Below are 25,563 nucleotides of genomic sequence, written 5' to 3' on the forward strand. Positions count from 1 at the left end.
AGCCTCACCTGACCCAGGCTTCAGCTCACCCGACAGACGCGGCCTTGCTATGCTCAACTGTCTGCTGTTCCTTCTACATGTGTCCCTCTCAACCTCTGACCTGCTCTCCTCCTCCCAATTTCAACATCACCTTTCCACCAGACTAAATGCCACCTGTCTGTCGCTCAAAATTCCATTCAGCTGTCACCTCCTTCAGGAATTCCTGCACATAAAACATACCTCTATTTAGCTCTTAAAACATCTTTAACTGTTTACTTGTGTCTCCCCACTCAAGTGTAAATTACCTGAGGGTGGGAACTGTGTTTTCTTCCTCTTTGTACCCGTACAGAACCCGGAACATAAGGTGATCACAAAGGCTTTTGAAAATATCTTATTCTCAAATTTTTCATATTAAAACCTGAATAAATCTTGAAAGCATTATGTTAAGTGAAAAAGCCAGACACAAAAGATCACATATTGTATGCTTCCATTTTTATGAGAATTCCAAAAAAGGCAAATCCATAGAGACAGACTAAGTAGATTAGTGAATGCCAGGGATTGGGGGAGAGGAGAATGGGGCGGGGTGGGGGAGGGTACTGCTAATGGGTATGATGCTTCTTTTTATAGTGATGACAATGTTCTGGAATTAGATAGCGGTGAAGGTTGCACAACCTCAAGAATATACTAAAAGCCGGTCAATATTGCACTTTAAAATGGTGAGTTTTATCTCAATTTTTAAAATATTTAATATACTGCTGGGCACTGTAGGACACAGAGGTATAAAACATGGTCCCTAACATTAGAAATTTAACATTTAGTTGGGGTGTCAAAAAATGTGCTTTGAGACCAGGCACAGTGGCTCATGCCTGTAACTTCAGCACTTTGGGAGGCTAAGGCAGGAGGATCACTTGAGCCTAAGAGTTAGAGACTAGCCTGGGCAATACAGGGACTCTATGTCTAGTAAAAATACAAAAATTAGCCAGGCGTGGTGCCGCATGCCTGTAGTCCCAGCTTCTGGGGAGGCTGAGGTGGAAGGATCGCTTAGGCCCCAAAATCTGAGGCTGCAGTAAGCTATGTTCACATCACCGCACTCCAGCCTGAGCAACAAAGAGACATCCTGTCTCAAAAAAAGGAAAAAAGAAAAAAAAAGTGCTTTGAATGAATAAATACTCTGAAGGTTTAGGTTTACCCCTGGGGCTTTAGGGAAGGATGGGGGGACAAATGCCAAGTTCTTTTTCTTTTTCTTTTTTTTTTTTTTAAAGAGACAGGGTCTCACTCTGTCACCCAGGCTGGAGTGCAGTGGTACGATCATAGGTCACTGCAGCCTCAAACTCCTGAGCTCAAGCAATTCTCCTTCTTTAGCCTCCTGAGTAGCTGGGACTACAGGCATGCATCATCACACCCAGCTAACTTTTTTGTTTTGTTTTTTTTTTTTTCCAGAAATGGGGGTCTCAATATGTTGCCTAGTCTGGTCTCAAACTCCTGGGCTCAAGTGATCCTCCCACCTCAGCCTCCCAAAGCACTGGGATTACAGGTGTGAGCCATTGCACTAACCCAAGTTTACTTTAAATCAATGGTTCTTTCAGCCAACTTTAAGTGCCCACCACATGCCAAGCACTAAACTGGAGATATAAAGAAAGTTCCTAGACATCCAAGAAGAAGCCTGGATAAAGGAGTTAGAGATAAAAACTTCTTTTCACTACAAGATTCCCTCAAGTAGCAAGCCCAGGCTCCCGGCACCCTCAGGGCCTCACGGCCAGGCATTGCATACATGTCTCCCTAGCAAACAGGTATCACAGCAGCACACAGCAGCCACCCCAGTCACCCAGGGCACTCCCCTCTCCTCCTACCTTCCTGTCTCATGTTGTGGTTTGCTTTCTGTTTATTCTTACCCTTTACACCTTGTCATGAGGCTCTCATCAAACAGAAAAGACAAAATGCTACATACAACTACAACCTAGTGCACAAGGGGCTGGCTCCACACCATGTCTCACTTCCTTACCCAGAACGGGAAATTTTCATATCCTCCTACTCCAACTTCTCCTGATCTTCAATTCAAATTATTTTAAATAGAGTGCTTGCCACCCACCTAACTTACCATGCAGTGATCGGCACTGTAGGTATACTCCTATGACCTGGACTCTACCTCACTGATCACAGTTACAGTGAAGACCACTTCGTGAAAGACTACGAGGAAAATAAGGTACAAATCTATTTTGTAGTCCTACTGTGTGCTAGACCCTGGGCTATAGGTGTTGGGAACGCAGCTTCCCATTTTCATGCTATCTCAGAAACAGCGCAAACAACTGCTCAAAGCTGCTGAGTGCCAAGGCCTGAACTCTGGGTGCCTGCGGGCAGGCCTCTATCTCTGGGCACTACCATACTGCTCACCTGTCAGTAGCCCAAGCACTGTCTGCACCTGGTCCAGTAGCAGCTTCCGCAACTCCTCCTTCCGAGCCACACTGAGGTCCTCACGGGGACAAGCCAGCTCTTCTGAAGTTGTCTTCAACATGATCAGCCCAAGGGGGGTTGTCACAGGGGACTGGATCAACTGCCAGGAAAAAGCATGTTCTGAGCAGAGTGTTGGACTAATAAAGTACAAAGAGGACTCAGTAGCATTAAAGCTATGAAGCATCTGTGTGTGTTTAATCTTACATGAACATAAATCAACACTTCAGAAACATCACTTAGAGGCCAGCTCCAATGGCTCACGCCTGTAATCCCAGCACTTTGGGTGGCTGAGACGGGCGGATCACCTGAGGTCGGGAGTTAGAGACCAGCCTGACCAACATGGAGAAATCCCGTCTCTACTAAAAATACAAAATTAGCCGGGTGTGGTGGTGCATGCCTACAATCCCAGCTACTTGGGAGGCTGAGGCAGGAGAATCGTTTGAACCCAGGAGGTGGAGGTTGTGGTGAGCCGAGATCGTGCCATTGCATTCCAGCCTGGGCACCGAGAGCAAAACTCTGTCTCAAAAAAAAAAAAAAAAAAGAAACATCACTTAGAGGATATTTAGGTAGCTCTTTTTAACCATTCAAAATACATTCTCATCATATTTTATGGACAAAATTCTAATACCATGAACTTAAAAACAGCTAGAAAACAATGGTCTTTTATACCTAACATGACAATTTTTATACATGTCCAGATTCCTAACACAGCCTTTGTTACTTTGTCTAGTAGCCAAGTTTTGTGTGTGTATGTATATAAATTATATCTGTATTAGTGATTAAGATGTGTAAATCAATTTGTGATGTCTTTTCAATATGCATGTTGTTAAATCAACTTTACACTTCTAAACTTTGCATGCTTCAGAAAAGTTCATGATTAAATATAGCAGAGCAACACCATACATACATGTCATTAAACTAAGATTAGTTAGGATTTTGCAAATACCCATGTAGCAAATTAAGTTGCTGTTTCTATCACGTGTAATAGTCTCTCTACCATAAGAAAGTTTAACTAAACAAGACAAAAAAAGTACGCCTTCAACAGCAAAGCACTACTTACATCTTCCTAATCATTTTTACAAAATTCAAAGCATTACTATTACACTTATTTTTTAATTTCCAGAAATGATAAAAGTAAACAAGTTGCCACTAAAATTATCTGTTGAGTTAATTGCTACAATCTATAAAAGAGCAGACAATTTGAAAAGCACTTCAAGTTTTTCCTTAATCTTAACTTTAAATGTAGTTAATTCCCTGACACACTTTTTTTTTTTTTTTACTTAAGCTAAAAAAATATATAAACTTTAGGGAAGAGCAGAACACTCAGGAACTGCACCCATACAGACTTTATATTCTTCACTTCAAGAAATACAGGGTACGGGCTGGGCGTGGTGGCTCATGCCTGTAATCCCAGCACTTTATCACTTGAGGTCAGCAGTTCGAGACCAACCTGGCCAACATGGTGAAACTCCATCTCTACTAAAAATACAAAAATTAGCCGGGTGTGGTGGCAGGCGCCTATAGTCCCAGCTACTCAGGAGGCTGAGGCAGGAGGATCACTTGAACCCAGGAGGCAAAGGTTGCAGTGAGCCAAGATCACCCCACTGTATTCCAGCCTGGGCAAGAGAGCAAGACTCTGTCTCAAAAAAAAAAAAAAAAAAAAAGAAAAAGAAAGAAATACAGGGTACATTCCTTTCCCTTAGAAATAACTCTCCCTATCACAAAGCAAGGAAAAGCTCACCCCTAAAGAACAGGACAAGTACTCAATAATGGGAACTTAAGGTAAATTCAAGTGTCTTCAGAAGCAGCACTAGGTAACCAGCAGCAATGAATGATGTGTTTAAAATGCTCTCTATAAATTCAGGTCTCTTGAACACTAAAACTTTGTATATTCTCCACAATTTTTATCTTCGTTTTCTACAAATTGGGCCTATTTCTAACACTGACTTAAATTCAGATCATGCAGTGTAGGGAGGACAGGAAATTTCTCTTCACACAATGAAATAGAACTGATCCTTGGTAAGCATCTCTTTCCATTTGGAGACCTTTGGCTTATCAGTCTATATTCTAAAAGATTCCCATTACTTCCTCCTTTTCCTTTCTTTCTCCTCTACCTCTTTTGTCTCTATTTTCCCCTCCAGGCTGCATCCTTACTCTCTCAGCTGGAAATGACTCGTAATGCCAAATATCCCATTTGGCAATATACACCCTCCTATAAATATGAAATGCTGTGCTTCCCAGATATAAAAATCCCCTACGATATGGAAAATCTATCTGCAAGCTCTCCTTCCTCTCACCATTTAGGGGAAGGGGAGAAGGTCAGGCAAGAAGCCAGATGAAAAAAGAAAGCTATTCTTTACTTGAAAAAGAGCTTGATAAAATGTATAATTTTTCCTCTCATTAGCTTTGTACCCAGGAAGCTTTTGATTAAAATAGTGTCTCCCTTTACCATCTTCACATCTATAATTTAAGCCTGTAACATAGGTAATCTCTGCAATTTAACAGACAATAAGCTCCTGCAGGTTGAAGAACAAGTTCAGGTTTCTAGCGTGAACTTCTGAAAAGGTTCCATTGTTTTTATTACACGACCCAACAGAAGAAACAGCAATTCTCTCCTATGCTGCTTGCCCCTTAAGTCTCTAGCCCCACGTACAATGTGACCACAGGTTCTGCTCAACAGACTTCAGGAATTTGAAGAACAGGTTCTAGAACCATTAGTGTTATGTGTGTGCTGACGTATATGCAGGCAGGTGGGAAGGAAAGCGGTCGGTTTCAATTTCGATTACTTCTCCAGGAGCCTAGAAAGGGTATAACCAACCCACCGCACGTAAGGCTGGGTTACCAAATCAACCCCTCTCTATCTGGTTATGGTGGTCACCACAATTATAACAAAAACTGCATAGATACCACCCAACAAACTGTCACAGCGTTTAAAAAAAACAAAACCATGCACCCCAGACTGCAAACACAACATGAGCCAAAAAAAAACCCTTGAGATGATTTACTCAAAGGATCAAGTGATGGTGAAATGGATTCCAGAACCAGTTTGGCATTATTTACCAATACCTGAAGAAAATGTTTACAGTTAGCCCTCCATATCCATGAGTTCTGTATCCAAGGGTTCAAACAACCACAGATAGAACATAATCAGGAAAAAGAAGAAAAAATGGCTGCATCTGTAGTAAACATGTATAGTTTTTTCTTATCATTATTTCCTAAACAATACAGTATAACAACTATTTACAGAGCACTTACCTTCTATTAGGTATTAGAAGTAATCCAGAGATGGTCTAACCTACACAAAAGGATGTGCATAGGTTACGTGCAAACTATGCCTTTTTATATCAGGGACTTCGACATCCATGAATTGTGATATCCAAGGAGGTCCTGGAACCAATCCCCCACGGATACAGAGGGATAACTCCACTATATTATCAGAAATGTCAGCAATTGGGCACTGATCATTGAGTACTGATCATTCTTGACAAGGCTTATATGCCATTGTCTAGTTCACAAGAATAAATAAGAAGCAGGACATAACACAACTGGAAAGGATTTCAAAGATCACTTAGTCCAACCCTCTCATTTTACAAAGAAAGAAAGGGAAGCTTACCTAAGTGGCAGGAGGTGCTAAAATCAAAGGGGACTTTAGGCTAGGGGCAGTAGCTCACGCCTATAATCCTAGCACTTTGAGAGGCCATGGCAGGAAAATCACTTGAGGCCAAGAAGTCAAGACCAGCCTAGGCAACATAGTGAGACTCTATCTCTATTTATTAAAATAAAAGAAAAGAAAAAGAAGACTTTACACAAAGTTGGGTGCAGAACCCAAACCTGCTGCCTCACAGTCTGGCTCCTTCTACTACATGGTGTTTCAAAGTCACGAAAGCTACATGAGGTTAAAGGAGTCAATACTGAAGGGGTTGAAAGCGGGAGGTGGTGGAGAACAGTGGACAATTAGCCTTTTTAAACCTCCAGAAGCCCTTCACCTAAAAGTGCTCTCTTCCAAATCCATCTTTTGTTACAAATAATTATACTTCAAATGTAGCCAGGAAACGTTCTGTTCTTCATCAAAGGGACCAATCCCAGCGGTGGAACTGTGGCTCCACCTTACCTGCTATCATCAGGCCTGTGACTCTCCGTCTCAAGGTCCCTCTCTTCTTGTCACAGGACGCACCACTAACCAACCCAGGAATAGGTTCACTTAGACTCCCAACCCTCTTGGTCTTTCCTGTCTCCAGTGGGCTTCCCTGACGCCCACTTAAGAGAGCCTTGGAGAGGGTTACCATAACCGTCCTCAACTTGGATTGAAGGCAAGTGTATTGGACAGAACGCCAGGGAAGTGTCTCCCACCTCGTGTCCCCCCAGTCCAGGCCTACTGGCCTGCTTGCCATTCCTCAGGTCCTGTGCACTTCCTATTCTCTCTGCCCAAAATACTGTTCCCCTAGATACCCACGTGGTGCACGCCATCACCCCCACTCAGGTTTCTGCTCAAATGTCTGTCCCCAGAAAAGCCTTCTACGAGCATCCCATCTAAACACAACCCCCGCTAGTTTCTTTCCCCTTCCCTGGATTGAGTTCTCATCATACTTATAAATACCTCCAAGTGTGTACCTGTTTATTGTTCGTTGATGCCCTCATCCCCGCCCTGAGATCATAAATTCCAGGAAGGCAGGGACTTGGTCTTTGTTCATTACTATATCCCCTCATGTGCTTAGTGTTCAACAAATAGTTTACTTGAATAAAGGCATGAATCTCCTTTGCAGTAACAACCCAATAAATCTCTAGATAAATGAAGCACTGTACAAAACAAAACTAAATGAAGAATTTTTGTGCCCCTTTGAGAGACAATCTGAGAGAAGCACTTTGGATGCTGAATTCTTTTTGAATTGCTGCATCATTAAAATGGTTTGTATGAAGAGCAGGCAGAACATTAGAAAATGATATTGTTCTGGAAAATCCTACAGTCACTGAGACTATAAACAATTTTCAAAGAACTTTATTTCTATAAACTGTATATAATACCCACTTCCTGCATACCCAAGACTAGCTCAATACATGAAAATGTTTCCAACTTGATCACAGGATTCAAATGAGCAACAGCATCTCCCTCGTAGCTTTTAGGTCCCAGTTACTCCCTTCTGACTTCCAAATCCTGATCCCAGATCCACACTTCCTAATGTCTCATTAGTTATTACAAAGAAGGAACACACAAATTTTAAATGCATTTTCTATCAAACTGAATTCACCATCTTCTGCCCAAATTCATTCCCCTTCTTTCAACCCTGGCCTGAAAAATCTATCTGAGCCAGAAAACTGGAAGTCATTCTAGATTCCTCCCTTCTCTCCCCTCTCACCTATTGTCACTGGCCTCCTGCCCCCATCCCCTGGGTGCCTCACCTCCACCCACCAGGTCGTCTCCTTTTGGCTCAGATCCTCTACACCCTGCCTCTTTCCCTCTCACCTCGCCCCTCTGCAATCCAGACCCCAGCTAGCCATCATTCCACCATAAACATGTAGCCATGTTTTCTCCCTCCCCAAAACTTTTCATTAGCTCCCTAGGAAAAACTACGAATTGCACAATGGAACCCCCCAACCCTTCCTGGCCTGGCCTCTGCCCATCAATCTAGCCCCTTACTCTGCCACTTCACCATCTCACATCTCAGCCCAACAACACCAAGTCTACATGCTATGCCACCATAGCACTCTGCATATACTTCCACAATAATTACCATATTGTTGAGTAATCACTGTTTGCACAGCTATTTCCCCCACTAAACGCCGAAACTACTGAAAGCCTCACCCTTGTACCCCCAACACCTAGTACAGCACCTAACAGGCTTTCAAATACTGGCTGAACAAACTGCACAAGAGGTTAAAAAGAGATTAAGTTTTTCTCCCCCACTTTCTCCACCTCACAAAGATACAATATGTCTTATAAATATAAAGTGAATGCGATAATCAGTCCTACAATAACCTCACTACTGCAGTTCCAAACTGCTAATCTTAAAAGTCCTCTTCAGGACAAGGAAATAATCACTTCAACAAACAAACTATTCACAAGATAAAGTTTCCTTAGGCATATCCTTACCTGTAAAATGTTAGTAAAAAAGTCGTGGTAGAACATGGGCCAATCCTGACGTCCAATATCAACAATAACTTTGCAGAGCTTGTTCCGGATAAAGTAAGGTAAGGTTTTATGGTGAGCCAAAAGGAGTTTGGGCAGACAGCTACGGATTTCCATCTTATCCTGAGATGGGACCCCAAGCCACATTTTATTGATCAGATTCTGAAAAACAAATATACATCTTTTAAGTTAACAACCTATACACAAAAATAACTGCTTTTCATCCCACAGGTAGCTATTATCACTTCAATAAACAAGAATCCCTCTTTAAATAAAGGTTTGGGGCAATATGGCAATAAGAATAATAAAAGTATTCAAATCTTAGGACACAACAGTCCCATTCCTAGGAAGAACTGCCAAATAACAGAAACAAAAAGCTGTATGTGCAAAAACTTTTTTACACCACTGTCTCTAATGGCCACCAAAATATAATGACAGAAGCAACTTCAATGTTCAAAAACAGGAGCATGCCTTGGTGAATAATGTCATAACCACATGTGGGGATATAAAATAAAGTGGGGAAAAGTAGAATACAAAATAGCATGGGCAATATGATTACAATTAGATTTTTTTTTTTTTTTTGAGACGGAGTCTCGCTCTGTCGCCCAGGCTGGAGTGCAGTGGTGCAATCTCAGCTCACTGCAAGCTCCGCCTCCCGGGTTCATGCCATTCTCCTACCACAGCCTCCAGAGTAGCTGGGACTACAGGCACCCGCCACCACGCCCGGCTAATTTTTTTTTTTTTTTTTGCATTTTTAGTAGAGACGGGGTTTCACCTTATTAGCCAGGATGGTCTCCATCTCCTGACCTCATTGATCCACCCGCCTCGGCCTCCCAAAGTGCTGGGATTACAGGCATGAGCCACTGCGCCCGGCCTACAGTTAGGCTTTTTAAAGGGGGGCACAGAAGACAAGGATTGGAAGAGAGGTGATAAATAAAACTTTTTGTTGTTGGGGATGATGGTATTATGGTTATTATTTCTCCTCCTAAAATGTTTTTATTTAATTATCTTTCCTTTATCAATGATAACAGGCAGGGAATAGTTACATGTTACCACAAATGACCTACCTACTTAACCCTAAAGTCAACCATCCATCTTACCTTTCTAGTGTGGAAGATGGAAGATGCCCCAAACACCAGACAACTACATAAAGACAGTATGTGGGACGACATCCCAGAGCTGAGCTACCCTCTCCCAGCACATTACAGCTCTAGTCTAGTGCTAATGATATGGCAATAGAACTACAAAATCCTTTTCAGAAGAGTATAAAATTACTGACAACTTACCTCAAAAACTGTTAAACTGTACATCATTACATAGTCATTCCTAGTGCTGGAGAGAAAGTACAGGCAGAATCTCCAGGCTCCTATTTGCTGGGCAAAGTTATTAAGAAGCTCCTCTGGAAAAGTTAAATGGCAACAAAAGAAAGCTATGAAAATACATGAAATTAGACAAGACTGGGCTATCTTATTATTATTTAAACATGTCTCTCTGCATATAATGTAAATGATGTCAAAACCAGCGGATTCTTTAAGATAGAAAGAATAAATCATACAATATTTTTCTGCGTCTGAGGTGACCATGGACACTGACAATGTTTTCAGCCACCTAAAAGCCAATAACCTCGCTATGGATATTTCTCTAGGCAGAGAAACTTTCACTGCTAAAGTTCTTATTTAAGCTAATGTGTGGCTGGAATGTTCTAAGAGTACCCTTCCATCTTCTTAAAACTGCTAGCTAACTTACTTCGTCTGAATATGAGCTACATTCTAGGGCCTCGCCATTCCTCTACAAATCTTCAGTGGAGCCTACATTGTTCACACACACAAAATGACGGCTAGAAAGGCAGAAAAAGAAAAGATTAAGACTAATTCTACAAAGATAGGAAAGGAAAAAAATGCAAGAGAATTCAAAACGGCTAACTCTTCATTTGGGTTGGTTTTATTTTAAAACACTGCCACCAAAAAAGTGAATCGACCGGTGGCAAGAGCAACGATGACGAGTGTTGCGGCGAGTAGCCCTGTCCACACATCACGTTGGTTAGAAACGGTTTTCCTCCTCCTGAGGCTGCTGATGGCATCAGCCAGAACCCACAAGGCAGCAAGCATTACGGGGCTACCATCATGTTTCTGGACATGCTGTCCCTTAGTCACCTTGACCTGCTGCACTGGTCATGAAATATAATCCAAAAAGGGTAAAAGTGCAAAGGCCCACAACCTTGAGAGATTCTAGAAAGCCTTTGGAAAAGCAGAACACACAGCAGCTTCTTCTAATCCTCAAGTCATTGCTCTGCTAGTTCCCTACAACTTAAGCTAAATGCAACGACGCAGTCTCATTAAAAAATCCATGGAAAGGCCAGGCACAGTGGCTCACATCTGTAATCCCAGCACTTTGAGAAGCTGAGGCAGGAGGACTGCTTGAGGCCAGGAGTTGAAAGACCAGCCTGGGCAACACTGAGACCCTGTCTCTACAAAACAATGAAAAACTTAACTAGATATGGTGGTAAGTGCCTGTAGTCCTAGTTAATCAAGAGGCTGAGGCAGGAGGAGACCTTGCTCTGTTGCCCAGGCTGGTCTTTAACTCCTGGCCTCAAGTGATCCTCCTGTCTCAGCCACCTGAATAGCTAGGATTATAAGCATGAGACACCACGCACAGATGGCTATTTAAAGAAAAAAAAAAACTCGACAACTTAGGAGAGTGTCAAAATGAACATGCTTTGGTGTGCCTGAAGCTTTAGCCCAGGAGGCCGAGGTTGCAATGAGCTATGATCACGCCACTACACCCAGCCTGAGTGATAGAGCAAAATCCTATCTCTTAAAACAAAACAAAACAAAAAAAAAAAAACAAAAAAAGGCCGGGCCCATTGGCTCATGCCCGTTAATCCCAGCACTTTCGGAGGCCAAGGCGGGTGTATCACGAGGTCAAGAGATCGAGACTATCCTGGCCAACATGGCGAAACCCCGTCACTACTAAAAATACAAAAATTAGCTGGGCGTAGTGGCAAGTGCCTCTAGTCCCAGCTACTTGGGAGGCTGAGGCAGGAGAATCGCTTGAACCCGGGAGGCAGAGCTTGCAGTGAGCCAAGATTGCGCCACTGCACTCCAGCCTGGCGACAGAGTGAGGCACCATTTCAAAAAAAAAAAAAATCCAAGCCTTTTAATTTTAGATCATTTCAAAGAGGGCTCGTGGGGCTATGAAACCATGAGCTCTTAATGCTATGACCAAAGACTGAAGTTCTCTATAGGACGCCATAGCACTCAATGGTGCTGTTTTCCTGAGGAGACATAAGAAAAGGGGGGAAACATATTTTTGTAGAGATGGAGTCTTGCTATATTACCCAGACTGGTCTCAAACCCCTGGGCTCAAGTGATCCACCCGCCTTGACCTCCCAAAGTGCTGAGATTACAGGCATGGGCCACCATGCCTAGTCAAAAACATTATTTTAATAAAAATAAAAGTTAATTACAAATCCATAAAAGGAAGCTAACAGCCTGCCCTAATAATTAAGCAAAGGTTTCTGTGAATCCCCAAAGTGAAGTCAAACCAGACTGGAACTGAGGAACTCTGGGCTCTGTTCTAGACTCTGAGTCTGACCCCAGGTGAGTCACTGCTCCCCCTTGATGCTTCTGTTTCCTCCACTCTACAATGACCACATGGTCTCGAGGTCCCTGCTAACAGCTCTATCAATTTCTAGAGCACTAGTGATTTACCTTTGCTGGAGGGTGGGTGGAGCCCTTTGAAGAAAAGGCTTCCTTCCTTTCTCTGACCAAACTAGGAAAAGCCTAGAGTTTATCCCAAGACCATAGAAAAGAAGCAATAAGTAGTCCAAGTCCACACACTCAAATAAAGCTACAATGACTAGGTACAAAGAGAACTGAACTAAGACAAGCCTACTGTATAGAAACAAACCCCTGGATTCCCCTCAGCCTGCACTCAAATTTGGCATCTGGAGCATTTGGCTACTTAAATCTCTTTTAAGATCAGATTAGAATATGAACATGTTCAGAAGGTTCTACGTTTAATTCATGAAATAGAAGGTGAGAAATATTTGATTTACAAACCAAAAATTAAAAGAATCAAAAGCATTTCAATTATAATCTAAAACAAGACTTCAAAGAATACAGTAGAGTGTCAGAATATCGAAGACTAATGGCCAGGCACGGTGGCTCACACCTGTAATCCCAGCACTTTGGGAGGCCGAGGTGGGCAGATCTCTTGAGGTCAGTTCAAGACCCACCTGGCTAATACGGTGAAACCCCGTCTCTACTAAAAATACAAAAAATTAGCCGGGGGTGGTGGTGGGCACCTGTAATCCCAGCAACTCGGGAGGCTGAGACAGGAGAATCGCTTGAACCCAGGAGGCGGAGGTTGCAGTGAGCCGAGATCGCCCCATGAACTCCAGCCTGGGCAACAGAATGAGACGCCGTCTCAAAAACAAAACAAAAAAATTTTTTTTTGAGACAGGATCTTACATTGCCCAGGCAGTGGGAAGCCCCCAAAAGTAATACCAGTTATGGGATTTCTGGGCACTATTAGGTTCAGATCAGACGTCTGCACAGCAAAACATGTTCATTTTGACACTTTCCTGAGTTGTTACTGTTTCTCTTTAAATAACCATCCAGGTGCAGTGGCTCCCGCTTATAATCCCAGCTATTCAGGAGGCTGAGATGGAAGGATCACTTGAGGCCAGGAGTTCAAGACCAGCCTGGGCAACATAGCAAGACCCTGTCCCACCCCACCCTAGACGCCCCCACCAAAAAGTCGCAGGCTTCTTATATGAAAGTTCAACAACATTGCTGAAATTAAGATCCACAGTGATGGATTTTCTTTCCTTTGGTCAAGTGGAGGGGTTTCCCCAGCCACCAGCCAACAGAACCAGAGCGAAAAGAGCAAGAATTCAAGTGGAAAGCACGCAGACTTGACCAGTCACGGCTACGAACAACTCCTTCCTCCCTACCAGGGCCTCCTCATTATAAATTCCTCTTTACAAGTCAATGCTCCACTTACCTATCTCACGTTTTCTTTCATTGGTTGTACAATCGTGAAAAAATTCTGTCATCAGACTTTCCAATGCCCTGAGAGAGGCTTCTTCAGATGCCTAACAAAGGAATTTGAAAAAAAATCAATAAGCTGCATCTTCAGTTCCACTGTTCCTCAGTTCCTTCTAGGTCACATTCAACAGCAAGAGCAATTTACTTCCTCAAAATCTTGGTTCAACATTCTTCAAATGCATGGTATATGCCAGAAAAAACTGAAGGGAATTTCCCAGCTGGCTCAAAACCCAACGTTGTTGTTGCATCCTCTATAAATTCATGCTACTGTGCAGCTGATTTTCAATTATGTATGCTAAGAAAAGGGGAAATTCAAAATTCAACTCTGGAATAATGATTGAAAGCAAATTAGCCCCTGGCCCTTCCTGAATGGGCAGAGCAGAGAGATTCAAGAAGGCCAGAACTCCTCATAGACTATTCATCCCTGATACATTTCCCCTGTGTCTGAATAATTTGTCATATTTTGATTCACAGCACTTATATCAAACAGCTTCATGGATTCTCAGGGGTTTGGGGGGTAACCAGGGAGAGTGGTTTTTTTTTTTTTAAGAGACAGGGTCTCTGTTTGCCCAGGCTGGAGTATAGTGGTGCAATCATAGCTCACTGCAGCCTTGAATTCCTGGGCTCAAGCGATCTTCCCATCCCAGCCACCCAAAGCAATGGGACTACAAGTGTGAGTCATTCACTGCAACTGGCCATGGATTCTTGGAGGTTTTTGAAGGCATTCCAGGAGTCATACAGTCAATTCTCAATCTCACGTGAGCAGCCAACAGAGATTAAAGTGCAGCTGAGAGCCAAGCTAACTAGGGATTCAAAATTAGCTCCTGTAAACCACAGGCCCACAGTGAGAGCCAGACTCTCAGCAGAACTGCTCAGGTTGGAAATGAGAGGAGAGGCAGCTCAAGGCCCCCAGTACCCATCCCCTCCCTTTGGGGTTCATATGGAGCCCCAAAACCCACTTCCTTTATTCTTACTCAAGTAGGAGTCGCAGGAATGACCTTGAGTTAACACTCCTTCACACAACCTGCCTGCAAAAAGGTAACCATTCCCAAACCATTTTTGAGTCATCACTGGTATAATTCTACCCCAGACATAATCAAGAGCCAGCAGCAGTTGTGATTATTTAATTATCTCTTAACTTCTTTCTTCCCACCTATCTCCCTTCCCCATATCCTCTCCATCAACCATGGACTGAGACCTGACTATAAAAACTGCATTTTAAAACAACAAGCCCACACTCAAATGTGTCACATGTCAAACTGTAGTATACCAGCGGCCTCCGTCGGGTGATTGACTTTGTGAAGACTGAGGAACAAATTTTCATCTCTGAGGAAAAACCAGCACTTCTCAGTACCAATTACAGAGGCTGAATCAGACTTGATTCATAAGCGTGTGCACACCAACCAACACACACAAGTGCACTCACTACACAGAACACAGGGCCACGTTCCTCCCACACTGAGGTCACAGAATGATGGCTCTGCAATGACACCTGAACTGCGACACACTGAATGATGAATTATTGTACAATACTTTGAGCGCTTGTGAGTGAGAGAGACTTTCTTCCCTGAACTTTGTATTTAGGATAAAGATTAGCCTAGCCCCCTACTCCTCTTTCAGACTTCCATATCGGTTTAACTAAAAAATATCCTTGGCTTGCAAGCCAAGCTGTTTTATTAAAAACTATCTATTTTTTCAAACCCAAAAATAAACTGAAAAGTGAAGCTAAAATAAGACTGCAATCTTCTAAAATGTTTCAAGTGTTTGTGTTGATCAAAACAGCCTCACTGTTCTCACTGACTTTATAAATAAATGCTATAAATGCAAACCTCTAAAATGAGTGTACATAATAAAAGAACGCCGTAGTCTGTTTCATAAATCGAGTCTGGTGTGCCATTTCATTTGAAAAAAGGATTTGCTATTTAAAATAAAAAGGCTGTGGGAAGATGCAGAAGAATCAAAAAAAATAGCACATGTTAAAATAAATCAATAGTTCTTCTGGAGCCAAAATGTGTTCCTGGAAACTAAGGACACATCTGCAAATCATATCTCTCCATAACTTCTTGTGTTGAATCATTTTAAAGTAGATCCTGCAGCAAACTTGAGCTTATCACATCCAGGCAATCAACCACCACCATTTATTTAGTACTAGATTCTTGAGGAAGAGATCTGAGAAATAAATGATTACTGGAAAGTTCCTGATAATCTCCAAAAAGAATCCAACTCTGCCACCATTCCCAGTCCCATCTACCCTTTACTCTCTGCCCCAACCCAAGAAGTTACAGTTCCTGCAGAAAGTGGAAGGACAAAAGTACTCCTAAGAATCCCAGATGGGCTGGCCCAAAGGTACTGAGTTATCTCACTGGACTGTTTGCAGTCAGTTACAGATCCAACTCCTTGTTCTACTCTTTCCCCCGTTCTCACTACTACACTTCACTAGTTTAAAAAAAAAAAAAAAAAAAAAACCCAGATGCATTTTCCCATTAAATGATGGCTACATGAAAAAGGAAGCTCCAAAACCAAATCCGGGGCATTACCAGGTGTTTCTCAACAAGAACAAATAAGTGCTGTTTGCATTTTTAATCATTTCTATATCTGTAACAACAATACCTGCCTCACAGGGTGATATGAGATCCAATCAGGCGATCCATGTAAAACTGCTACATAAACCATAAGGAATTATCTAATCTGTAGTTATGGCTGATCTCATTTTTATTTGGTCTTAGATACCAAATGAAAACAGACCAAAGCAAAACAACAAAAGTGGTCAGGCCTACTTTGAAACTAGAGACTCATGCCCTCAGGTTTAAGGGCTTTCTCCCAATCATATCTAGTGGGGCTTTTCAGACTAGATTTCAAAATGAAGCTATGTAAAATGTATAGGCGGGAAAAATCAGGAGGCCAAGAATTTGCTAACATCACACAATCAGAACAGAGGTAGAAAAGACATAGAAGGCACATTCAAGGATACTGGTTCAAGGATACTGGAGAATTCCCTGGCTCCCGTTTGGCAACAAAGCCACCGGAACCTTGGCCAGCTGTTTCAAGCAAGTGGTGAAGCCAGAAAGTAGATTGGGTGAGTTAAGGAATTAACTGCAAGTGAGGAAGAGGTAATACTCCAAGCAGATTACACTTTCAAGTAATGAAAGGGACAAAGAACATAAAACAAAATCCAAGTGCCATCGTGTGGTAGGGAGACAAGGCTTCCATTCCCAAAGGCTATTCAAAAACTTTATCTCCTGCGCTGCATTAATTTATGAAGAATAAGAAAATTTATCTGACTGCCTCCTACCTTGTGCTTGGGATTTAAGCCTCAGACAGATCTTGACAAACTAAGGAAAGGTAAGATAAGTTTAAAACTAAGTGAGACACATTCACACACAAAAATTCCAGTTGGATTGTAGATACAGAGTATCTTCACGAGCTAGGGGTAGGGAAAAATTTCTTAAACAGAACACATAAACCACTAACCATAAAGGAAAAGACTGGTAAGTTGAAATGTTCATCAGATGGCACAATGGAGAGAGTGTAAAAGAAAGCCACAAAATAGGAGCTATCTGCAATATGGAAACAGGGAACTCATATCAGAGCATAAAATAACTTCAACAAATCAGTAAAAAAAAAAAAAAAGACAAAGGACTTCAATTTTTTTGGACAGGCAAATAATTAATTATAAAAGAGGGTATTCAAAAAGCCTATAAATAAGTGTTCAGCCTCATTAGTTATCAGGAAAATACAAATTTAAAATAAGATAGTGCTACACATCTACCAGAAAGGCTAAAATTTAAACGACTGACAATAATAAGTGTTGATGAGGAGGCTGAGCAACCAGCACATGCATGTACTGCTGGTGGGAGTATACACTGGTACAACCACTCTAGAAAACTGACAGCTAAACATATGCATATCTTATGACCCTGCAATTCTACTCCTTGATATATACCCAACAGAAATTTTTACATGTATACCAAACGAAAACATACACAAATGTTCACAGCACTATTATACACAATACCCAAAAAGTCAAAAGAACCCAAATATCCGTCACCACTGGAATGGATGAATAGTGATTTCTTGATAGAGGAGAATATTATAAGACAACAGGAATTAATATTGCTACATGCAACAACACAGATGAATCTCACAAACACAATGTAGAGTGAAAGAAACCAAAACACAACCTTTCATTATTCACTTTATATTAATTTTAACAACAACAACAAAAAAAAGCCAGGCATAGTGGCCCACATCTATAATTCCAGCTACTTGGGGGGCTGAGGCAAGAGGATCACTCGAGCCCAGGAGTTCAAGGCTGCAGTGAGGTATGATTGCACCAATGCACTCTAGCCTGGGCAACAGAGCAAGACCTTGCCTCTTAAAAAATAATAATAATAATAATTTAAATAAGTAAAACTTATCTATGGTGTTATAATCAGACTAGTGGTTACCTTGGAGGAGGAGGGATTCTGGTAATAGTCTATTTCTTTATCTGAGTGTTAGTTACACAAAGATGATCAACTTTACAATTTATCTGCTTCTGTGTAAATATATACTGCAATTTTAAACACTTAATGTTTTAAAATCCTCATTTCTAAAGTCCAGGTTGGTGTTATCAGACTCTTTAGAAACTGTATTTTAGCTCTATCAGCACAACTATGGCTCTGGGGACTGGCAATAAGCCTGCAGGTAACAGTGTGAGCATGAGGCTCCTGATTTCTAGGAACCATCTCTTGTCTTCAGAGCTGCCAGGATGGCAGCACAAGGTATTACAACCCCATAAGCCTATGCTTCCCCAAGAGTTACTTGGCTCACCTCAATAGCAAATGGCACATACACTTAAAATCCTTGGGCAGGATGACGAATTAAGCTTGGCTCAGAATATACTCTTGGAGAGCTCTGCATAGATCTAAAACAAACCCAAGTTTTCTGTTCCAGAAACAGTTAAAACTGCAAAGGTGATAAGCTTGCAACTGTGCCTGCCCTGACTTTATCTGCTCCTTTTACTTTGCTGCTCATGGGTCAGCAGTTCAGAGATCTATGCCATTGACTCATTTATTAAGGGACTACTAAGTCCACCAAGACCCATAATCACCTAAAAAAATTAAAACTTGGAAGAAGCAGAAGGGTGACATAATTTGAGATCGCCTTTGCTTCTTCCCCATATTCTCCATCCACAGCAAACACCATCAGGTCTGCGGACTGTTGCTTCTCACTCTTTTGCAGGTTTGTACCTTCTCCCTCACCACTATTTCTACGGAGCCCTAATCATCTCCTGCCTACGTTACTATAATTGCTTTTACCTGGTTTCCAGGTTTTCCAATTCCAATCCAAACAGTACTTTACCGCCAGATAAATTCTCTTAAATATAGATTTTTCTGCCCCAGTTATTCTTTTTTTTTTTTTTTTTGCTAAAGACATGGTCTCTGTTGCCAGGCTAGAGTTCAGTGGCATGATCCTAGTTCACTGAGGCCTCAAACTCCTTGGCTCAAGCAATCCTCCTGCCTCAGCTTCAAATAGCTGAGACTACAGGCACATGCCACCACATCTGGCTTTTATTTTCATTTTTGTAGAGCCTGGGTCTTGCTCTGTTGCCGAGGTTGGGGTTGAACACCTGACTTCAAGTGATCCTCCCACCTTGGCCTCCCAAAATGCTGGGATCACAGGTGGGAGCCTCTGCATTCAGCCTAATTTTTTTTTTTTTTTAGAGACAGAGTGTTGCTGTATCACCCCAGACTGGAGTGCAGTGGAACAATCACAGCTCACTGCAGCCTCAAACCCCTGGGCTCAGGCGATCCTCCCCACTTCAGCCTCCTGAGAAGCTGAGACTATAGGCACATGCCATCACACCGCTCCAATTATTCTAAACCTAGCTTTAATTCTGGAGTGACTAAGCAACTCAGCTATTTGTTGGAGAAATGAGAATTCAATACTCACTAAGTAACTGATATTGCTTAAATTAAGCCCCTGGGATACAATGATGAGTAAGACGGTCCCTAACTTCAAAGAACTGAAGGTGGCCTAGCAGTTACATCCTGTAGTCCTGGCGTACATATAAACAGCCTCAGAAGACCAAAGAGAAAACTAACTCTATCTGAAGGAAAGAAAGCTTCAAAGGGGTGATTTGGGTTTTGAAGAGCAAGGAAGTTTACTAGGAGGATAAGAAGGAAAGCATGCCTGATTCAATGTCACTCGCCATAGGAAGCCACTCCAATCTGAACACTCATGGTCTCATAAGCGAGTACCTAGCCCCATCCTGCATTTGCTTCTGAGACTGCAATTTATAGTTTAACCTTCATGAATTTTCCTACACAGATTACAGTACAGATCAGGTCATTTACATCTTGTGTCTTTGTCTTGTAATCAGTACTACAGAATTTTGCCCTTGGTGCTGTTCTCTGGTCATTTCAGAATGGCAAAAGTTTTAAAATGCAGGCTCTAGGGTCAGGTTCCCCAAGTTTGAATCCAAATGTGCAGCTTGACCTTGGCCTAGTTATTTAATGTGTCACTGTTTCTTCTTGTGCACAAGTGGGGACAGTAAAAGTACCTAACATATTGGGTCATTCTGAGAATTAAATAAAATGTAAAATACATAGTAAACACAATGTCAGGCATGAAGTGTGGGCTGAAAGTCACTGTTCATACGTCATAGATATTAGGCTTCTCTACCCAGAACATCAACTGTCTGGAAAGATGCTCTATCTAGTATGTCTGTATTTTCTACAATATCTACCATGGGCTGGTGGCTCAACTATCTTAAAGACCAAATTCAAGACAGTAAAAGGAACAAGAAAACTGTTGGTATCACTTTCAGTTTCTCAAGAATACTGGTAATTCCTCCAAATTGAAGATACATGTGACTCTTTACATTTTCCCCTTTAAGGGTTCTGACCATAAGCAGACTTCTGCTCACACGCAGATTCAATCTGTGTTGAAAAACAGGAGACTGCTAACACTGAGACTGAAGGTGGATAATAAGGTGCTTTTCCCTAAGATGTAGCAGCTAGAAGGTGGTTTCCTCAAACCCTGATTAAATCTGTAATATGTTACCTAATGGCCTCTAAAACAACCCCCTCTAAGCATAACCTTTTTACAAAATTAATCTTGGGGAATAATGACTATTTTTTAAATTTTTTTTAAATAAAGATGGGGTCTTGCTATGTTGCCCAAGCTAGTCTTAAAACCCCCAGGTTCAAGCAATCCTCCCACCTATGCCTCTCAAAGTTCTGGGATTACAGGCATGGGCCAACATGCCCAGCCAAAAATGACTATTTTTTAAAGACACTTCTATTAAGCTTTTTGCCATCCTTTCCCAGAGCCTCATTTTGTATAATCTACTAGGAGGTGAATCATATGGGTCTCCTATATTCAGGTTCATGGGCTCATAGATACCAAACCTCAACAAAATGAGGACTAGTATCCCAGAGTGCCATTCAAATATCCCTGTGGCATATCTAGAACAGTGTCATTACCCTATTTGCTGTATATAAAGGTTTCGAAGAAAAGTGATTCTATCCCTGCTGCCAACGAAGGTTAAAAAGTATGCAAAACATATCCGGTGTGTTACAACACATGCGATTAGCAAAGATATTCAAACTCATGTAAACTTTCTCTGAAAGCTAACAGGATTACCATAGATGTCTAAACTCTCAGATCATCACTCTCACTTCCCTACACCCTTCACCACTGCAAAAAAAAAAAAAAAAAAAAAAAAAAAAGGAGAGAAAAAAATCTTTGACCTGTAGGCCTGCACACAAGTATGAGATGAAATACTAAGCTTAAAATAACATGCATGGGAACCAGGGCGAGTGACATCTACCTATCCCCCTCCTGAAGTCATTCAGCTCAAAAAGCCAGAAAGCTAGAAAAGTGCATCAAGGAAGCCCCAGTCAGGAGAACGACATTCAGAACAATGCTTCCTCCCATCTCTCCCTCCGGTCACTACTGCTCTTTTGCATCCCAGCCCGTAGATATTTTCCTTTTCCTTTTGTTTTCTGGAGGCACAGGTCTTGCTCTGTCGCCCAGGCTGGAGTACAGTGGCACAAACTCTATCTCCCGGGCTCAAGCTATCCTTCTACCTCAGCCTCCCAAGTAGCTGGGACCACAGCTGCACACCACCACATCCAGCTGATTTTTGTATTTTTTGTAGAGCTGGGGTTTCGCCATGTTGCCCAGGCTGGTCTTAAACTCCAGGGCTCAAGCGATCCGCCTGCCTCAGCCTCCAAAAGTGCTGGGATTAGAGGCACGAGCCACCGCGCCCAGCTGACACTTCCTTTAAAAAAAAAAAAAAAAAGCACAGCATATTGAAGTGGAAATCTCACTTTATTCCTCTATTTAAAAAAAAGAAAAAGTGGTGAAGCCCACTGACCCTCCACAGTCTAGCAGTCAGCAGGGCAATCAGGGAAGCCCAGAGACACTGGATGACTCGCTCAAAGACACACAGCCAGTGAGCAGCCAGCCAGAATCTCAGCCCCAGCCACACCCATGTGAGTTCCTTTCCTTAGCCTGACTGTGATAGGACAGCGTAAGGCCAAGCAGAGGGAAGACCGAGGTACAAATATACATTGATGTAATTCATTCTAAACATTGTGTACAAGAGTTGCAGGAGAAAAAAAAATGTCTTCTACTGAAGCAAACAGACAACCACAGCATGTAACAGGACTGCTAAGGCTGGGCAGGCGCGCCCACCCCTCTATTAACACAATCTGGAACAAAGTCATCCCCTCGCATGAGAAAGGCTTCTTGTTTTCTTGTCTGCAGCTTAGATCTAGACATAACTTTGCACAATATCTTCACACAGACATTTAATATTTGATTAAAACATACACTCTGGCTGCATCTAAACATAATTTTAGTCATTAAAAAGCACTTTTCTGCTTTAATCTAAAACTACCATAAAGTTGATCGATGGCAGAACATTCCTCTATTATTTCTTGGGTTTGCACAAAGTGCCCAGTCAGATTGTCTGTCTCTTCCTCTAATTACTGCTGAGGACCAAGAGTTAGAAGCAAGATGACTGCCGGGTGTCTGGGCCAGGAAGTTCAACTGATCCCACTGTGGCAGTGATAACATGGAAGCAGCATATTTTCTCCCCATGGAGACCAGTTAGAGGAAACATCTTTGTATACAGAGGATGGTACGTTTTATGCTGGGAAACCTCATCCACATAGTATTGGAGAATGCATAAAAACAAGACTCATCAATCAGCTACCAATGGAGAGGTGCACCAGTTTCTTTCTTTATTTTTTTTTTTTTTTGAGACTGAGTTTAGCTCTATCGCCCAGCTGGAGTGCAGTGGCACAATCTCAGCTCACTGCAACCTCCACCTCCCAGGTTCAAGCAATTCTCGTGTCTCAGCCTCCCAAGGAGCTCGGATTACAGGTGCCCGCCACCACACCTGGCTAATTTTTTTTGAATTTTTATTAGAGACAAGACTTCATCATGTTGGCCAGGCTGGTCTTGAACTCTTGACCTCAAGCGATACCGCCCACCTCGGCCTCCCAAAGTGCTGGGATTACAGGCCTGAGCCAGCGTGCCCAGCCTGGTTTCAATAATTTTAAACAACAAATCTAAAGACTAAAGAGCATGACAAGTAAATGCTACACCTGACCACAGATTGATCCTGGACTGGAGGGAAAAAATGCTATGAAAGGCATGACTGAGCCAATTGACAAAACTGGAATACAGGTGGTAGTAGGTTAGATCAAAGTACTGAATCAATGTTCTATTAACCGAAGATGGTAACTGTACCATAGTCATGTGGGAGAATGCCCCTATTAAGAAATATATGATATAGGGCAATGGACCATGACAAAGGCAACTTACTCTAAAATTGTTCAGAAAAAAATACATGTGTGTGTGAATGTACATGCATGTACATGCATATATGTCTATATATACATATAAAGAGGGAACGTGCAAATAACGTTAACAGGACAAAATATTAACGGTAGGTGAGTTTGGGTAAAGGGTATGAGAGATCTTTGTATAACTTATTCCTTGAAATCTTTCTATTTGAAATCATTTTGAAATAAACAGTTTTTAAAATACCATCCACTGGCCGGTACCCTCTACCTTGCCCCTGGCTGCTCCCAGCTAGCTAGGCATATGGGAAAGAGAAATGGAGAAAAGGATACAATAGGAAAGAATTATTCTCTCAGGTGCCAGGTTTATTTTCACCACAGTTACACAGCCTAGACATTAAAATGTTTGCATCTACTGGTTGGGCAACAAACCATATCCACTAGGAGCTAAAATACATATATTTTATATACTTATTTATATTCCAGTCAGAAGGCTTAATTAAACAGCCAAAAAAAGTAAATGATAAAAATAGTTATTCTGCAGAAACTGTCTAAAGTAAGTAATACAGCCAAGAGTAGGCTCTGTCTTCACAGTCCCATCTGCTTCCCTTTCCCAGGTACATATCCCAGGAGGATGGATGTTTATATCTGCATGCCTAGTATTAAACTCAAAAGATACTTACTGGGCACATTAACACAAGGCAAGCTACCAAGAAATGCTAAAACACGATCACAGAATCTTAAGACAGAAGTAAACAAACCCCAGAGCACAGCAAGTCCAATCTTGTTCTACAATGAGGAAAATGAAGCTGAGAGAGAGCATCCTCCCAAAGTCAGCTAGCTGTGGGTCAAGTGAAGACAGGGGCAGGCCACCAGAGCTCTTGCCCAGTGACAGCTCCTACACCCCTTGAGGAAGCACAGAGGAGTTCTGCTCCAAGGGTTTTAAGGATGATGAATGAGCTGGCTTTACCTGGCATTGGATGACATCAGGTAATGAATGAGTATGAAACTGACGAACCACTATAAAAGCATGCTGCAAATCTAACATGATGATTAACGCTACTGCTCAGGTGAGTAATTTCATTTCAGCTGCTATTACCACCTGTGCTATTTAAGAGCAAGTCTCTTGTAAAACCACCTTCATCCTGAATTATTCCCAGGTAGACTTGGCATTTTAAATAAGTTAACATAATGGCTGGGCGCGGTGGCTCACGCCTGTAATCCCAGCACTGTGGGAGGCTGAGGCAGGCAGATCACCTGAGGTCAGGAGTTCGAGACCAGCCTGGCCAACATGGTGAAACCCCATCTCTAATAAAAATACAAAAATTAGCCAGGAGTGGTGGTGGCGGACACCTGTAATCCCAGCTACTCAGGAGGCTGAGGCAGGAGAATCACTTGAACCCAGGTGGCAGAGACTGCAGTGAGCAGAGATCGGGCCACTGCACTCCAGCCTGGGTGACAGAGCAAGACTCCGTCTCAAAAAAAAAAAAAAAAAAAAAAGTTATAATATTATTTGACTTTGGTAAAAATCTCTAGACCACATTACTACTGGGAACTGGGGTAGCATAATCATCCCCTCCAGGTTCCACTCGGTTGCTATAAAGTCTCAAGAAACCAAGAGCAAACCAAAGTCTACCATCCTCTTTGTCAATGGCAAAGCTGCAATGCCTCGCCCTTCCCATTTCTAGTTGGCCTTGCCACCCGCCTCCAGACCTAGGGACAAAGAATGGTGCTAGCCACAAAAGGAAGGTAGGACACAGCTAAGGACAGGCTTCTCTTAAGGGTAAGCAGGGGAGAGAGTTCAAGCACAAAGCCAGGCAGTGTTCTGATGCAGTGACCTCACACTGGGTAGATGTGGACCAATGGAGTGAGGCTCTCCCTGGTGTACCAATCAGATAAATCACTCCTATGGAAAGGAAGAAATGAGAGGGTGGAGACAGGACCAGAAGAATGTGCCCCAATACTGCTCCCACCTGGTGTGCAGTCAAAACCCCCCTGAATGTAGGCTAAAGCAAGAATGAGGGGACACAGGAAGGTTACCCTCTACATAAGCAATGAGAAAACTAACAGGTTTGTTTTCTCTAATGGGAAACAGTGCTGCCACTGAGGGGTACAGGGCCAAGCATGGCAGGCAGAGAAAGTACCAGATTAGAGCCAG

The 25,563-nt window shown here is 42.3% G+C and overlaps 1 protein-coding gene and 2 pseudogenes across 2 annotated transcripts in view, besides 4 other annotated features; 2 read left to right on the forward strand and 1 right to left on the reverse strand.

Moving 5' to 3' along the window:
* XPO6 (exportin 6) overlaps positions 1–25,563 on the reverse strand; it is a 113,990-nt gene that overhangs the window by 69,404 nt on the left and 19,023 nt on the right. For both annotated transcript variants that reach the window (NM_015171.4, NM_001270940.2), the window contains 4 exons: positions 13,562–13,652; positions 9,841–9,953; positions 8,519–8,716; positions 2,371–2,530 (listed from right to left, as the gene is read on the reverse strand). In NM_015171.4, coding sequence (NP_055986.1) covers positions 2,371–2,530; positions 8,519–8,716; positions 9,841–9,953; positions 13,562–13,652 — 562 coding nt within the window. The remainder of the gene's footprint in view (positions 1–2,370; positions 2,531–8,518; positions 8,717–9,840; positions 9,954–13,561; positions 13,653–25,563) is intronic.
* Positions 11,719–11,844, forward strand: LOC124900376 (uncharacterized; annotated as a pseudogene).
* On the forward strand, positions 15,939–16,051 carry RNY1P10 (RNY1 pseudogene 10; annotated as a pseudogene).
* Positions 20,293–20,462: an enhancer, noted in NCBI's record as "active region_10637". NCBI's record gives its function as "activates an Ori minimal core promoter by ATAC-STARR-seq in GM12878 lymphoblastoid cells {active_cell/tissue: GM12878}" and the evidence as "EXISTENCE:reporter gene assay evidence [ECO:0000049][PMID:35858748]".
* Positions 21,547–21,596: an enhancer, noted in NCBI's record as "active region_10638". NCBI's record gives its function as "activates an Ori minimal core promoter by ATAC-STARR-seq in GM12878 lymphoblastoid cells {active_cell/tissue: GM12878}" and the evidence as "EXISTENCE:reporter gene assay evidence [ECO:0000049][PMID:35858748]".
* Positions 21,989–22,128: a silencer, noted in NCBI's record as "silent region_7305". NCBI's record gives its function as "represses an Ori minimal core promoter by ATAC-STARR-seq in GM12878 lymphoblastoid cells {active_cell/tissue: GM12878}" and the evidence as "EXISTENCE:reporter gene assay evidence [ECO:0000049][PMID:35858748]".
* Positions 24,744–24,916: a silencer, noted in NCBI's record as "fragment chr16:28203444-28203616 (GRCh37/hg19 assembly coordinates)". NCBI's record gives its function as "represses an EF-1alpha promoter that drives an FKBP-Casp9 reporter gene in an ReSE screen in K562 erythroleukemia cells {active_cell/tissue: K562}" and the evidence as "EXISTENCE:reporter gene assay evidence [ECO:0000049][PMID:32094911]".

Source organism: Homo sapiens, chromosome 16 (assembly GCF_000001405.40).
Source record: "Homo sapiens chromosome 16, GRCh38.p14 Primary Assembly".
NCBI lineage: Eukaryota > Metazoa > Chordata > Mammalia > Primates > Hominidae > Homo > Homo sapiens.